We start from the raw sequence: 17,376 nt of genomic DNA on the forward strand, positions 1-17,376 counted from the left end.
CGGCATTATTCACAATAGCAAAGACTTGGAACCAACCCAAATGTCCAACAATGATAGACTGGATTAAGAAAATGTGGCACATATACACCATGGAATACTATGCAGCCATAAAAAGTGATGAGTTCATGTCCTTTGTAGGGACATGGATGAAACTGGAAATCATCATTCTCAGTAAACTATCACAAGGACAAAAAACCAAACAACACATGTTCTCACTCATAGGTGGGAATTGAACAATGAGAACACGTGGACACAGGAAGGGGAACATCACAATCTGGGGACTGTTGTGGGGTGGGGGGAGTGGGGAGGGATAGCATTAGGAGATATACCTAAAGCTAAATGACGAGTTAATGGGTGCAGCACACCAGCATGGCACATGTATACATATGTAACTAACCTGCACATTGTGCACATGTACCCTAAAACTTAAAGTATAATAATAAAAAAAAATCATGAGAGTCAGTTTGGATTTTGTCACAGCAACTTAAAACATGTCCACAATTGAACTTTTTGTCTTCTTCCCCAAACTTGATTCTCAGGGGCTAAGGTTCCCCAAACTTGGTTCTCAAGGGAACCAAGGTTCTCTGGGACCTGGAATGTTCCCTGGCATTAACAAATGACTCAGCCCTTCCATCACCCAGGTATAGGTTTGCCCTAGGCGCTCTTCTCACTCCCCACTCTTGCTTCCTTTATGCCACTGCCTCCAAAATAAATTCTAGTAACCCAAACCCTCCTACCACACTCCAGACTTGAGGCAAAACTGTCTGATGTACATCCCTCCTGGAGATCCCACCGGCACCTCAAATGCATGTCCAAAATTGAACTCTTTATCTATTTTCCTAAGCCTCCTTCATTCCTTATCTCCATGAATGACAACACCCAGTTGCCTAAGCAAAATATGTCAACTCCTTCTCCCTCGCTCTCATATTCAATCAGTAACTAACTTCTGTTGATTCTATCTCTTCAGTATCTCTTGTACTTGTCACATCCTCATCACATCCCTATTAAGTGGAGGCCCTCTTTCTACTGCCAGAGTCTACCTGGTGTCCTATTTTAAATTTCACTCATTTTGAATCCATCCTCCATATCGGCTCCAGGGTCAATTTTGAAACTCACAAATTCTTTTGCTGTTACATCCGTGCTTGGGACTTCTTAAAGACTCCCTGCTGCACAGAAGATAAAGTCTAGACTCCTCGTAGGGGCACAAAAGACTCTCAGTGACCTAAGGCCCTTGCCAATCTTTTTTATTTTTCCACTCTCCCCACCCTCCCCTATTGCACCCTACACTCCAGTCAGATTAAACTACTTGCAGCTCTCCAAATGTGCAAGGCTAATCCATGTTTGTATTTTTGCCCCAGTGATTTTCTTTTTCTAGAATGTTCGCTCCTCCCCCACTTACCCTTCCTAGCTGCAGTGATAGAGTCTGTATGACAGGCTCATTGCACTCAGGGCCTCAGCCACTCTTGGCTATAACTACACTAGCTTGAGGGCTGTGGAATAAAATCCTGCTGCCAGTAGACCCTGGGTGGCCAAGCATCTTCCAAACCAAATGCTCTCTCACTCCAGCTGTGTTGGCTTTGTTTATATAATAGCAGCAATATAACACTACTAATAATAATTGTAACAAAAATAGGAAAATACTACAAAGAATTTGCTGTATGATTGGTACAACAATGAACTAGACATATACAGGTCTGCCCTCAGGGAGTTTATAGTTTAGTGAGGGTGCCAGATAATCAACAAATAAAATAAGCATCACTTATTATGGTAGATCATACTAATTGTTCACAATCATTTGTTCTCTCCTTGCCCTTGCTATACATCTCTTGAGGTGGTGCTCTCTTCCCTATCCCCATTGACTTTGGGCTTAGTCTTGCAATTTACTTTAGCCCACGGAATTGTGAGTGGACATGACGTAGGCATTTCCAAGCAGAGGCTATAAATGTACTTGAGTAGTTTGGCTCTGTTCCCTGAAGCTTCTGCCTTCTGGCATGAGAACAACATGCTCTAGGCACAACGTGGTCCTTCAGCCTGTGTCCCAGAACGAGATGTTATGTGGAGCCCAGGAGAGCCCTGCAGAGCTGCAGCTGACTTACAACCCTCTTGAGATATGAGTAATAAATAAATATTTATTGTTTCAAGTCATTGAGAGTTTCGGGCTGTTGATGCCACAGCAAAAGTTGACTAATACACTTATAAAAAAGGGTATGAAGGAAATAAAAAGTGACATCGCTCTTCTGGATAAGGTGGTTAGAGATGGTCTCTCTGGGAATGTGACAGTTAAGGAATGATGAGATGGAGCCAGTCTTGTGAGGGACACTCCAACATGGTGAACTGTAAGTGGAAAGGCATTGAGGTAGGCAAGAGTTTTGATGGAAGAGCGGCATGGGATGAGGGGGAGAGAGGTAGGAAGGGGTTAATCATACAGAGCTTGAGTTTCTTTTCTTTTTTTTTCTTTTTTTTTTTTTTTTTTTGAGACAGAGTTTCTCTCTGTCACCCAGGCTAGAGTGCAGTGGCGCAATCTCTGCTCACTGCAAGCTCTGCCTCCCGGGTTCACGCCATTCTCCTGCCTCAGCCTCCTGAGTACCTGGGACTACAGGCGCCCGCCACCATGCCCGGCTAATTTTTTGTATTTTTAGTAGAGATGGGGTTTCACGGTGTTAGCCAGGATGGTCTCGATCTCCTGACCTCGTGATCTGCCTGCCTTGGCCTCCCAAAGTGCTGGGATTACAGGCATGAGCGACTGTGCCCAGCCCAGAGCTTGAGTTTCAAGTCAGTGACAAGTAAGAAAAAAAAGATAAACCACTATATATAGCCTCATAGACCTCTGACTCAGATCCCTCTTGGCATGGCATTCAAATCAATCACTGAGGCCCAATTCCTTTCTTGGCATGAGGTCTTTGGCATGTTAGGGTACCCACGTAACATATTGCCCAAACTGGTTTTGAGAATGAAAGATGGCACTATGGATAATTACCTAGAACAAAAGATGTAAACTGGGATTGTCCCAAGCAAATAGGGATATATTGTCACCCTACTCATGGTAGCAGCTATTCATGAAACTAGCTTTTGCTTCAAGTTCCTCATTCACAACTCAATCCCCTCTGGAACTGGAATCCTAAACTGAAGCTCATTGGTAGGGGTCTGATGATTGCTAAGTTCTTGCCCTCTATGGCTGGACCCTGTTACCTGTATCCCATAGAGGTTGGCTAGGTTCTTGGTATAAATTACATGACTGTTCATCAGCATAACCTTTGGAAATTACCCACTGCCTGGAATTACCCTGTGGCCATGACTGATTCTTGCCACACCTCTGGAATAATGCATTGTCCCCACCAAACCATTCCAGGTGCTTACCCCGGCCTTTAGGCCCTCTTCATTGAGATGTTTAGAGGTCTTTCCCAAGGCCAGGCTCTGCACTGGGATTTTCATGCATTCCTCAGTGGCTGGCTGAGGAACTCATATCCCCAGCTCACAGGAAAGATTCTGATACCTTATGGAACAAAGCACAAAAAAGGCCTCCTGCCCTATGCTACTGGGAAGTAGCTGAGTCCACACTCTTGGGGCTCAGCTTTTACCTTGAAAACAGACCATAAGTTCTTTGGAAAATATACGTAGCCAGACCAAGCCACCATGCCAAAGTTGGAGCAAATATGAATCCTTCTAAAAATTGGGGGTTTGCATGTATTTTTCACTTATTAGCTGTACGCATTTGGGAGGAAGGAAGAGGGCAGGTACTTTACATCATTGAGTCTTTCCCCTCATATATAAAAATGGGATTAATAACTTCTAAATTACAGCTTTGTTGTGAAGACTCAACGCAATGAAGTTTGTGAAGGCATGGAACACAGCACTGTGCTGGGCTCAGGGAAGGTATACATTCAATTTTGGCTGAATTTGAAACAAGAGGGACATCCCCACTCTGCTGCTGATGGCTGTCTCCACGCATGCTTCTGCTTGGTGTATCTCCTAGTCTTAATCAGCCTACTAAGGCAGCAAAAGTGGTGTCTCCCCACTTCTCCCTTACCACACCCTCAATCCAGCAAGACCCCAGGCCAAAAGGTTTGCTCTTTGATCCTCAGTCCCTCCTCTCCTCAAGGAATGAACAGGTAACTCCAAGTCCAGAAGATTCTGACAAAACTCCCCATTTGCAGGAATGACTGACTGCTCGACTGCCAACTGTGACCTGGTGAGGCACCTTCTGTGAGCAGATCTGTGGGCAGATAACCTTAGAAAGGAGAGGCACTGTCAGCTGCATGGGGGTACCTGGTACTGAACAGCCCTTCACTTGAGTGTTGGATATTCTGTCAGTCTTGAGTCTCACTGTGAGATTCTGAGGAACTGTGACATGTTGGGGAACAGATGGAAGTCCTGATGACCCAGTCTTTCCATGTCCCAAGCAAAGGCTACTCAAAAGTGCTTCTCTCCTGTGAGATCCCACAGCTGCCTGCACCCAGCCCCCAGGATCCTATGAGTGATACTCGTAGCGTCCTATTCTTCCTACATGGGCAGATCCCAGATGGTCTCTATGCCCAGCTAAGGTTAGCTTCAGCTGCTCTTATTAATCTGGTCAGCCAGACACAGGTATTAGCTAGGAAAAAAGTATCTTGGCATGATGTAATCCAAGAGCTCAAGCCTTCCCATTAGCCCAGAGGAATTCAAGGAAGGGTGTGGATCACATCTTCAACAACTCAGGGGATGTTCTCAGGACTGTAGGCCCAGGTCCCTGGGTCTTTGAGGCACTCAGGGCCTGTCCTCTTCACTTGAGCCCCTGAGCTCTGTTAGAGAGCTCCATCATGCATTCTAAGCCTGTTCGTCAGAGCATCCTCACTCAAGGAGTCTAGAACTGCCATGGTCCATTCATGCCTCAGACCACCACCCACTGAAGACTGGAAAACAATACATGCTGATTGTTCTCCATGACACAAGGAAGTACATTTGGATTTTCTTCCAGGGGAAACACGATAATCCAAGGGAGTTTACAGGTAGCCTGGGGGAGCTCCCTGCAAGACCATGGGGGAGTCTGATCTAAGTCCCAGAGCAAGATGAGAGTTGATCAGGTAGCCTAGGGCCAGGAGCCTTTTCTCTGAACCCACCTCCCCTGAGTCACCCAAAAGATTGCTCTTGTACATAAGGCCTAGAGGAAGGGCCAATCAACACAAGAGGGGGTAACCCAAGGCCCTCTTAGAAAGCCAAGCCCTAGAAAAGGTATGTAGTGCCTTCCCCGAGGACCACAGAGTCTGAGGACACCCACATCACTGAGGGCTGATAGTAATGCACATATGTTCAAGTAAGATGACAAATTCACCAAGAGGCTCAAAGAACAGGGTTGGGGTATTGATAGAACTTCAAGCTCCAGCTTTTGAGCCAGCAGCTGTGAAAACAGACCCTGGCTGGGGAAACTCTGTTGGCCTCCACAGCTCTCTGAGTCAGGCATGGCAGAGCACAGTGGAGAATGCATACACACAACTTTGGATATTTTACAGAGAAAACAGAGCCTGTTGGCTTGATCCCAAAGGTGAAAGCTGAAATGAGAATGACAGAGATACCTCATTCCCCTATAAGTAGAGGTCACAGCCCAGGATTAGACTCCTAAAGCTTGACCAGTTTTCCCAGTTCCTCTTCCACGCAGGTAGCTGTGGTCCTAATATACCTTGGACCAGGACTCTTAGCTGGAATAAGGCCTTTGAACTGGGCCTTGGATTAAACTGTGTTCACAGTTTGGTTTTGGACAGATTCCTGGGTTGGATTGGACTGAAATTTTTGCCTGTGCTACAATCTTCCAAGAAGACTTCTGAAAATCTGCCAGTTGGAATGAATTTTTCTTCCTCTACATTCTGGTAGCACTTTGTGACCACATCTATGTGCAATAATTCAGAGACTGCTTTAAAATAAAAGCACATGCTTATCTTACTCACTAGACTATGAGCTCTTGGAGGGCAAGAACCATGTTTGAATCATCTTCATCACTTGCCCGGTGCTGAGTGTAATGGCCAGTACATAGTACCCACTCCCTTCCACATTTTGCTGCATTTAAATTAAATGAAAAACATCAAGTTGTAATGTGGGAGTACTGGACCATGCATCTCACTCCTTGATGGGATACCAACATGGAGGTCAACATCCCACGGACCCTGGGAGACTACAATCATCCTAATAACTGAGTTATGGCAGCTCAGCCTGGCCAACTTAATAGCAACAGCATATGAACACAACGTATCACCACATGTATCACAACCCCATGTATCTTGGCATGACACAAGTATTAGCTAGGAAAAAAGTCTCTTGGCATGATGTAATCCAAGAGCTCAAGCCTTCCCATTAGCCCAGAGGAATTCAAGAAAGGAATTCAAGAGACAAATTCAAGGGACCAAACCTCACAGAACTGACACAAAACTTTCCCCAAGCAACTGGCATACAGTATGTGTTCCATACTAGTTGTTCAGAAATATGACCTAATGTCTAGATCATCTAGGAGTTTTTTAGAACTACAATTCCTAGGCCCCATTTTGGACCTACTGAATTGGAATTTTGGGGGACAAGGCCAAGAATTTTGTATTTTAAAAGGCCTATGAGTGATTCTAATGGTTAGCTGGGTTTGGGTCTACTTTAGACCACGCAGGGCCACCAAAGACACTTCCTTCTCCTATAAAGTACCTGACTGTTTAGGCATAAAGGAAACAAGTGATGTATGTGACTCACACTGGCCTGGCAGGGAAAGTGTTGACTAATTCCTTGGACATCCTGATAGGAAATGCTGGGAGCCTCCTTCGTGAGCCATCCCTTCAGTCTGCCTGATTTCACCCTGGCCAGGTACACTGAAGAGCTGGATCCCACGGGCTTGGTTCTTACAGCCAGATTCTAAGCCAAGCCCAGCTAAGCATGATGGTACTTTGGGAAGTTCTAGTCCTACAAACTGTTGGGGTGAGATGTGTGTGGCTGCACAGAGCCAGTAACTGGTGGGCTTGTGAGAAGCCCAGCATACATATAGGCCCACTCAGTTTTAGGATCTCCCTCTCCTGCTAACCCTTCTTCAATATGTATGCCCCAGTCCAAGGACTGGGCTTCTATTCTGGTTCATGGTTTCCTCTCTAGTCTCTGCTGTGAGACTGAAGTCTCTTTTTGGAGACTGAAGCCTTTGGATGGGTCAAGGATATACTTTGCCGGGATACACCCTATTCCCTTGGGTGAGGACATGAGTCAATCCAGAATCTTCCTTCCCCCATAAAGTATCTGCCTATTTGAAAACAAAGGTAACAGGCAATGATATGACCCATACTGGCCTGGTAGGACAAGAATTGACTCCACCTCCTTGTACATTCTGAGAGGCAACACCAGCAGCCTCCTTTGTGACCCATTCCTTCATCCAGGGTCAGCTCTTTCAGCCCTGGACTCCCTCAACTCTGGCATACACTTCCCAGGCTGCCCCATGGCCCTGGGACGCTTCATAGCTATGACTAGTGCCCATTCTCCAGTACAGTAGCAGATACAGACCCTCCCCCATCCTGCTACCACCCCTGACTTTCCACTCAAGGCGACGTCCCCTTCAGATCACTGGGAGAATTCTGCAGAGCGGGCACCCCCTGCTCTGCCTGCCACTAGCAAAGGGAAACCACAGGTCTTCAGTGTTCAGGTTCTTGAGGACTGGATAACAGAGGGAGGGAGACCTGGGACTTCCTAAGTTCCCTGTTTATTTTCTGGGGCTATCTGTAGGTCAATGAAACCTTGAAAGAAGTCTAGAGAAATGAGGGGAATGTTACATTAAGCAGAGGAAGCTCACACCGATCACGGTCCCTGGCCTAATCACAAACAGTTCCCAGGAATATTATCCCTCATGCTGAGGCTGATGCATTTAAATCTTTGCTGATCCCAACTCTGGCTCTGATCATTTGAAAAAGGCAATTTCCAAGGACTCTAGCTATTGTGATCATATTTTCTGGGCCAAGGGAAATGATGTTTGAAATTGCATTTGTCCTGGAAAATCTGGGATTGTATGTTTACAGGGAACACTAGGTTTCAGCCATAGAGGGGAGGGAAAATAGAGCATGCTTCACCTGTGCATGTGGCATTGAGGTCAGGGTGGGAGGAGAAATGAAAAAAGTACCTGCCTATTTAAGAATAAAGGTGACAAGCAATGTATGCGAAGCAATGCATGTGACCTATATGAAGAAAACCATGGAGCTGTTATATTTAGAAAGACGGAAGTAGGCGAACAAAAACATGTGTCTGGATATGAGGGCTGTGTATTATAAAAATGCCTATTTTCTTCAAGTTAATTTATATTTTAACAGGAGTGCACATACAAAAATCCCAATAGGATGTTTTTTTTACTCTGACAAAATGATTCTAAAATTAATCTTGAACAACAAACAGATGAGAATAACAATGAATATTCTGAAAGAGAAAATAATTCAGGGAGGAAGGAGTTGTTTCTAGCTCTGCCAGATATTAGAACACATTATAAAACAACAATTAAAATTATTCAATACCAGTGCTAAGATAGAAATAGAGCAGCAGAACAAAGTGGTGACTCAAGAAATAGACTTAACTACATTTGAGGATTCAGTATGTAATAAAACAATTCATTTCCCTCAAATCAAAAGGGAAATGAATTACTTAATAAATTGTGTTGGAAAACTGCATAATAGTTTGGACAATATTATACATTCATCTAAGTAAACTCCAGATGGAGTAACAAATTATATTTTAAAAAATCAAATTACTGACAAATAACCAAAAATAGAACGAACTGTTTCTCAGATCCATGGCAGAATAACTTTGTCAGCTTTGAAAATAAATCACAAATACTGAGAGACTTGTTTATATAGAAATGTAAGACAACTATACAATGAAAAATAGAAAATAAATAGGGAAAATGAGGTTGGGAAAATACATATATCAAATACCACAAAGAATTTCTATACACAATGTAGAAAGAATGCCTTCAAATTGGGAAAGAATACCAACACCTCAGTAGCCACATGTCAGTACCAGTAGTCACTATACAGGGATTGGAAACAGCAAATGCCCCATGTCCCTCCTAGACAGGGCTGGAACCAGGTCGGCTGAAGAAAGGCCAAGACTGAAGTCTCTATCCAGTGCCCTGTGATGGCAATCTTGGCAGTCCTCCAGACACCTCTTTTATACCTCTTACCCCAACAGGGACATGTCTCTGGCCCATGGCTACCCAGCAGTCTGTCTCCAGACTGTGCTCCCATAAACCCACCTCCCTTCTTCATTCATATCCATTAGGCAACAGCCAACCCCTATAGGAACCATTACAAACCCAAGTACCCAGTCCTGCAGTGTGGGCGCGCGTGTGTGTGTGGGTGTTTATGTGTGCGTCAATGTATCTACGGAACATGTCCCTTTTGCATAGGCCCAAACCCAGTGGCTTCTCCCAGAACCCACTGCTGCCTCTTGGATGTCTCCTTTTCCAGCAGGGCCTCTCATCTTTCGGGCCCAACCATTCTAACAGAGAAGATGTCAAGTCTATGCCCCATGAGAAGAGGGGCTGTTGCTCTTCTGTTCAGCACCCACTATGATGCCCACCACATTGCAGGCACTCAATAAATATGTGTTAAATAAAAGAATGAACCTAATATTCATAGCATCAATGTTTTCTCATTGAAAAACTAAATTATAAGCCACAAGGGCCCACTTCATTTATATAATGGTGTCTATCTCCACATGAGAAGAGCTCCTTGAGGACACGGACCGTGCCCAATTCATCTCTGAATTCGTGGCACTTAACCTTGGGCACTTCACAGTAGTCCACAAAGGTGTGCTACAGAAATAGATTCAACTTACAGCTATTAAATTAGCAACTTTTAAATGGCCACACAAATATTTGAAGTTTAGTGAAGCTAACAAAGTTTACAAGCAATATATATGTGACCTAAACGAGAAAACCACAAAGTTGTTATCTTTAGAAAAGTGAAAGTAGATAAACATGAAATAGAGGCATGCCATGTTTCTGGATGGAAAGACCATACGTTTTGAGTCTTGTTCTTAATCTTACAGCTTTTGCTACTGGCATTATGAACCGACACCATATTTTGGGGAAACCATGCAACAGTATGCATCAAGAGTCATAAAAATACTCATGTCCTGATCGGATAATGTCAATTCTAGAAATTTATTCTAAGGAAATAATTCAAGAGAAGAAAAAGCCATAGGCTGAAGATGCTCATTATAGCCTTATATAAAATAATTAAATATAATTGGTTGAATAAGTCATGGTTTATTCACTTGACAGAAGAACCCACAGATTTTTAAGAATGATAACTATGTAGCAACATGGTAAGATTCACAGCAGAATATGGGCTTTAAAACATAGAATGCAAAATGGTATGCTCACTCTGATGAAGACCACATAACATATGTGTATAGATGGGTAAGAATAAAAAAAGACTGGTCGAATTTGAAATCAGTTTGGTTTAAGGGAGAGAGAATATGAATATTTTCTTTATTTAAACTTGTAGATTTATTTAAACCATTAAATTAGCTTAAACTTGAAAAATATGAGAACATACCAAAAGTCTCTGTCAAGTATTGGCCCTTGAGCTCCAGATACGTCTAGAGATAGAGTTACAGCACATTATATAGGGCATGACACCATGAGATTGTCCCTTTAACCTTAGCAGGATCATCCCCAAAGGCCCTTCAGTTTAGAATTTGACCAGGAACAGCCATACCCTCTTATGCAGCTAACTTTGTACATAGCAGGTACTCAATAAATCAAGATGGATAAATAAATGAACGGGTAGAAGGAACAGAGAAAATGTAAAGATTAGGAAGAGGTTTCAACCCCAGTATATTGTATGTTGGGGGTATACAATATTGATAGATTTCCAGTAAGGGTCACAAATCTACCTTTCTTGGATTTGTCTAACTCCTGTCAACCTTTGTTGCTTCATACAGGTAACTCGGCCAGCAGTTTGCTTCTATACTCTGGCCTAGTATTTTTATCCTAAGGCTTCCTTGTCCTTACATTTGCAGATGATCCCTAAACTTCTAGAAATCTAGTGCAATGGAGACAGGGCAAGACTTGCAGCAAGAACCTGGGTGCAAATTGCTGCTCTGTTAATTAACAGCTCAAATTCCAGCCTATTATTTAGTGGTTCTATGACCATCGTGTTAGTTATATTTCTTTGAACCTTGTTTTAATCTATAAATTGAGAGAATAAATACCCTATAACACAGTAGGGAGGACTCATATATTCCCAATAATGTAGAACATTTAATAAAATTGGCATTCTCCTCTAACCCATGCCTTCCCACTGTCATAATGCTACAGACTTTAATCATAGCCTCACTTAAAACACAAATCCATAGGATTCTTCATATTTGGAATTTGACAAAACTAAGTTATCCTAGACTAGTCGTTCTTAATCTGTGATTTTTTTCCCCCAGGGAATATTTGGCAATGTCTAGAGATATTTTTGGCTGTCACAGCTGGTGTGTGGGGCGGGTGCTACTGGTAGATGACAGAGATGTGTTAAATATCCTATAATACACAATACTGCCCCACACAAAAAGAATTATCTAGGCCAAAATATCAATAGTGCTAAGTTTGAGAAACTCTACTCTGGAGTAATGGTCCATGGGAGAGACCAGATTCTTGCAGATCCCATTACCCAATTCATCCCGGAATGTGTGCGTGCATGTGTGTGTGTGTGTGTGTGTGTGTGTGTGTGTGTGTGTGTGTCACCAGAACAGAAGGTGGGATAAGTAAGGAGGAAGTCAGAGTAAAGGACAGGAAGATACTAGCAGAGGGCCAGTAGGGCCATTTCCCACAGCATCTCTGTGGGCCATTTCCCACAGCATCTCTTTCCCTTCCAACTCTCCAAAAGCCCAGCTCAAGTCTTGTATCTTCTGGGACATTTTCCCTGAGCACCCAAGGATCCAATTTTCCCTCCCTTGACCTCTCAAGATTAGATTGCTGATTTGTAACTTAAATCGTATACATCCAAGAAGTTCCTGCCTTCACATTTCACACATATACTATACACATTAAGAACTGAGCAATTAGGATTCACATCTTCTTAAGGTGGTTTACAAAATGGCAAAGGAAAGTGTGCATTCATGCATTCTTGGCATATCTCTGGTGAAGGCTGTTTTGAAGCTTCTTTTGAAAGTGGCTGCTAATGGATTGATAATTGGTTTCCTGGCTTCCTTAAGAAGTGTGAAGCATTCTGCCAGCCTGTCGTCAAAGCATCAAGTATTGTGCAAACCACCATCAGAGTTATTTGTATCTTCCTTGCCATTGTATCTCTTGTGGTGGAAGAATAGCTGGACAAGATTGTATGGGAAATGCTCTCTATTCTTTTGTAAGGAAGGAAGTAAAATGGCAAAGCTTCTGGAAGGTAAAGAATATATGCAGCCTGGCCAAAGCTTTCCCACCATGACAGCCAGGATGAGCAATTTCCTAGGCAGAGACTGAACAACTCTGAATCCAATGCATGGTGCTCAGCACAGGGAAGACAGGCAGTCAATAGCTTGAATGGATGGAAAGTGGTATTACTTCCCATTGATTTTGAGCAGGGGTCCCGGGAGATGTGAATTAACTGAGGACCAGAGAGTAAGAGCAAAGAAGCTAGCTCCACCTTTTCTTTCAAAACGTTTTTCACTGTGAGATAAATCATCTTCTTAAAAACCTAAATTAAAAAAAGACTATCTATTGAGCATCTACTACTGTGAGGGCAGCTCAAAAGCCAACAAAATGATTCTGAAGTCTCTGCTTGCTACAGAAAATGTTTTGGAACATGAAGGAAGAGTGTATTTGTGTATTCTTGGCAGGGTAATTCCCTAGTAAAGAGTTGTTTTGAAGAAAATGTTTCAAGAGAAGAACAATACAATACTTTGCACCTCTTCAGACAACTTCTCAAATAAATTTGAGCCATTGAAATAATATCCCCAATCCCCTTATAGCTCTCAATAAGGAAAGGGCAATGTTATTTGCCAAGTATTGTATTAATATTTATTGTGACTAATGTATTGGAAAATTTAGGGCACTTATGCTGACTTTTGCTAGAGGAGCTTTTGTATGTACATTTATGAGCGCTTTGTAAAACACAGAGACCAACCTTATATTTTATATTTTTATAGATGTTTATAGGTATTGTCCCTTTTCTATTGATAACATTATATTTGATCTAGAGTTAAGAGCAGAACTCCAAAGTTTAACATTGTCTCTCAATCGAAGTATGACCTGCTCTGTAATGATCCACTTTCAAAGTAGCTTCCAGGTATTTATTGTGGGAAATGTGAGGACTATTCATGTCATAGTCATCTTTTTCTACAAATATGATCATAGAGGCTTAGAATATTTGGAGCCACAATGGAGTGCTACCCTATTGGATAGGTCAGTACATGAAAATCCAGAGAGAAGATGCTTGGCTTTAGCCACAAAGCTGAGCTAGAACTAAGAACCTGGTCTTCAGATTTTGAAACCAAAGTCATCTCAGTGTACCAGGCCTTTCTTATCACCATACTTTCTTATCACCAATTGGACTATGAGCTCCCTGAGGGCAATGCCCAGGACCTATAAAAGCATCAGCTTACCTGCTGGGTACTCAGTAGGGAGTGGGCAGATGGAAGTCCCTCACTTTGTTGAAATGCAAGGGTGACCTGGCTATATGCTGCAAAGGCATGGGGCCGGTTGGCTCCCTCTGGCTTCCTCCATGGAAGCCAGCATCCCTGAGATTCAAGCTGTGTCCTCTTACTCTCCAATGTCCAGACACACTTGAGTGATGGAAGGGCCTGGGGATGTCATCCTGCTCTATCCCAGAATTGTCTAGAAGAAGAAATGCCATGTCAGCTCCCCAGAGTACCTGCTTAGCTTTCATCCATAAGCCTCAGACCCCTCATCCTTGTTTCAAACCACAGGGAGCACTGACACATACTTGTTGGGACAGACCTATCTTCTTTCCTTCTCAGCTGTTTGCAAGCAGTGCCCAGCTCACTGGAGGCTGCCGGCCCTGCTTGTGGACACCAAGGGCCTGCTGGGCAGCACTTCAAGGTCTTCTGCCCTTGGTGAAGGTTTTACAGGGATGTTATAAACCTGCTCCTAAGAGCCAAAGGGCCAAGTAAACTCTTGGAGGGGTCAAGCAACAGTCCCTCAGCTGGCATTCTGCTACCTGCCTCTTTCAGCTTGGGGGACAGTGAATCTTATCCTGGTCCTAAGAGGCTGGCTGGTTTTGCTTCCCATGTGAATCCTCCCAGCTCTTTGTCGCAGAAGCTAGACCCTCCTCCATTTCTCCCTGCCTTGTTTTATCTAGATGGATTTCAGAGATTAAGCCCCCATGGCACCTGGGGCTCCCACTGTGTGTACCTTTATCTTCTCAGGCCCTGCTTCTGCAGAGCCCTGCCCCGTGCACCTGTCCCTGGGCTTGGTCTCTGCAATGGGCAAAGCCTTTGTGTTTGCCTGCCCCGAGCTGCTCCCTGCTCCTCCAGGTCCTTGTGGCTCCCAGCATGCTACGTGGCTAATGCTGTTGGGCTCTATATTCTAACCACAGTGGGGAGCAGGGATGGGCAGATATCATGCAATTTATTTTTTTTTCAATAAGGGTGAGTTGTTCAATGTGTATTTAAGGGTGACTTGATCTTTAAACCTCTCAAGACTTTTTACATAAATAAACTCAAAAGTCATCAAAATGCTTTGTTGGACAACGTGATTTTTTTTTTTCATTTAAAAAGTATCATCACCATGGTTCATCCCAACTCATCAACTCATACACCAAACTCTCAGTCATCACAGAGACCCTGACAGTCTCCCAGGCTATTCCTCTCCCAGCCCTGAGGGATCACCGATCTCTAGTGTGCAGAACTCGAGGCCCCAAGTAACCCACTGAGCCGGGTGAAGGATCTGAGGGTCAGGCTGCCTGCCTTTCCCTGAGAGAAGCACATGGAAAGAGATGGAGAAGGTGGAGTGACAAGGGATGGGAGAAGACGTAACAGCCCAGAGAAGCTGGAAATTTTGATTTCCCACAGAGACCATGTCTGGGCCTCCCTTGGCTACACACAGCCCCTCATCCTTGCCAATCCCAACGCGACTGAAGATTTAAGATATCATTTGTGCTGCAAAGTATGGTCAGGTCATCCAAGAGGAAGGAAGAAGGGCTTCTTTGTTATCTCCACAGAACAGAGCACTCAACTCCAACCCCTTCCCCAAAAGATCAACAGTCCAAAGATAGCTTGATCCCTTTTCCCTCCCTAAATCCAATATGAGATAAAGCAATTTTAGGAAACTGTTTATATCCTGGCAAGGCCAGTTTCCCACAGTTACTGGAGGCTGGTGGTGTCTACAGCCTTACAAACTTGACAGTCCCTTCCACCCTGCTGGATTAGATGGTGTCAGGGGTGGCAATGACGGTGAGCAGGAAATGTCTGGGTCTGAGCCTGGTGGGCTTTGTCCCAGTGGTGTCTCCTTGCTCTTAAGGATCACCAAGAAGGGTAAGACGGTGTTGAAGAGCATCCCCAAATGTCAGGAGCACTTGTTCTCAGTGCTACAGTCGACATTCCTGCCAGAAATAAGGACCCCACCAGCAACGTTCCGAGGAGTAGAATAAACCAACCAGAGTGCAGCTGTTGTTACAACCTGCAAGGTTCCCAGGGACGGGGCCCCTGGATTAGCTAGGAAACGGGCCCCTGCCTCTCAGTGAAGACCCTGGCGTGGCCTCCTCCCTGCTCACTTACACACGCAGCCTGGCTTCTTAGCCGACCATTGGTTATTCTTTTGGCATGTGATTGCCTTCTGTCCCACCAGCTCAAAGGCGGGCTGGCACTCAAACTTGAGTGTGTCACCGTGGTGAAACCGGGAGCCTTCCCTCCGGCCATATGCAGGTATGCCAGGGTCACCGCAACTGCCCTGCTCGATCTCTGAAAGACAGGAAGATGAGAAAACAGAGACAAAAGGTGACTTTATACCTCTTTTGGAGCTGAAGGTCCACATGACAAGCTCTACTGCTCTTCTGCCATAAGTCAGTGCTCAGAGTGACACAGGTAGGATTCAACGTTCTTATAAGGAATGAGGTTTGTGAGAAATCCTGCAATGTCCTGTTTCATCGCAGCATCCTAGGATGAATGGGCTTCCAGCTATCAAGTGCCTGAGACTCTGTGTCCACATAAAGTGTTCTAGATGCTTGGATGTTTTGATCCCTTACCCCTCCCTAAATCCAATATGAGATGAAGCAATTTTAGGGAGAAGGTGGGTCTACATTCTTCACAGGTTACCTGTCCCAGGAGCAACAAGTTCCACAGCATTAGAAGTCTTTGGAGACTTCCTCACTGAACCTGACCTTGCATCTGAACTGCTAATGTCACGACAGATCTCAAGTACAGTCCATTTCTGAGCAGCAAAGGCAAGTCAAGATGACACAGCAGTTGAGGCTTTGCTCCCTGTCTTTTTCCCAAACCAGAGATTAATTGAGAATAAATGTTCACTGCCTGCTGATGTGGAAGAACCTTCATGGAGATGTTTCCTTAATTCAATTTGCAATGGTAGCAGGTAAAATGAAACAAATGACTCATTGAGTATGCTTTGAAAGTTCACTTGAGTCAACAGTGGTGAGACAGACATGGAGTGGGTTCCCTGAGACAGCTCTGGGGGCCCTGAACCCAGTGGGCATGATGGGCTGGCTACCTCACCGGAGAGGCAGTCAGGATCCAGATGCTTCTGGAAAGGAGTATGTCCTGGCCAAGCCTCTGGAGCTTCCTCTGGAGTCACCTCCACTCCCACTCATGCTGTGCTTAATGCTGTGAGAGATGGACGAGGAGGAGGGGGTGGTGGAGGGGAGGAGGAAGAAGAGGGAAGGAGGGGAGCTCTGTTTCCGGGGAGAAGGGCGTCCTGCAGGATAGACAGGAGGTCATGAAGCCAGTGCCAGACGGTGAGGTGAGGACTGTATGAGTCCCGAGATTTGGGAGAGAGGGGCCCAGAGTCATCAGGGGAGTTTTTTGGACACTACCTAGGATTCTCAGGAAAAAGGGACCCTGCCTGTTCGGTAGACACCATCATGGGCTGTCAGAGCCACAGTCCCTGAAGTTGGTGTGTGTGATCCTGACAGGGATGATTCTGCAAAGGCTTTCCTACCACACTGGGGGCTTCTGTGGGCTGGGCAGCTCCAGGCACTGCCTTTTATGGGCGGGCTCTTGACTGTTGCATTCATGTTAACCCAAAACGAAGGCTGCCAGCTTTGTGCTGAGAGCAGGCAGGACAAGGCATTCTATGGCTGGGATTGTGTGTGTGTGTGTGTGTGTGTGTGTGTGTGTGTGTGTGTGATCATCTAAGTTGAACAACAAGGGTCCTCCCCTTTGTGCAGGGGAGTCTGTGTGACCATGTGCCAGGTGTGAGGCATCTCAAATCAAATGTAAGTC

The 17,376-nt window shown here is 44.5% G+C and overlaps 1 protein-coding gene across 12 annotated transcripts in view; it reads right to left on the reverse strand.

The window, feature by feature from the left end:
• CSMD2 (CUB and Sushi multiple domains 2) overlaps positions 1–17,376 on the reverse strand; it is a 651,845-nt gene that overhangs the window by 242,872 nt on the left and 391,597 nt on the right. For 11 of the 12 annotated variants that reach the window (XM_047443685.1, XM_047443656.1, NM_052896.5 and 8 more), the window contains exon 13: positions 15,700–15,882. The exons of the other annotated variant lie outside the window; for it this stretch is intronic. In XM_047443685.1, the coding sequence (XP_047299641.1) occupies positions 15,700–15,882 (183 nt within the window). The remainder of the gene's footprint in view (positions 1–15,699; positions 15,883–17,376) is intronic. 12 annotated transcript variants of the gene reach the window in all.

This window comes from Homo sapiens, chromosome 1, assembly GCF_000001405.40.
Source record: "Homo sapiens chromosome 1, GRCh38.p14 Primary Assembly".
Taxonomy (NCBI): domain Eukaryota; kingdom Metazoa; phylum Chordata; class Mammalia; order Primates; family Hominidae; genus Homo; species Homo sapiens.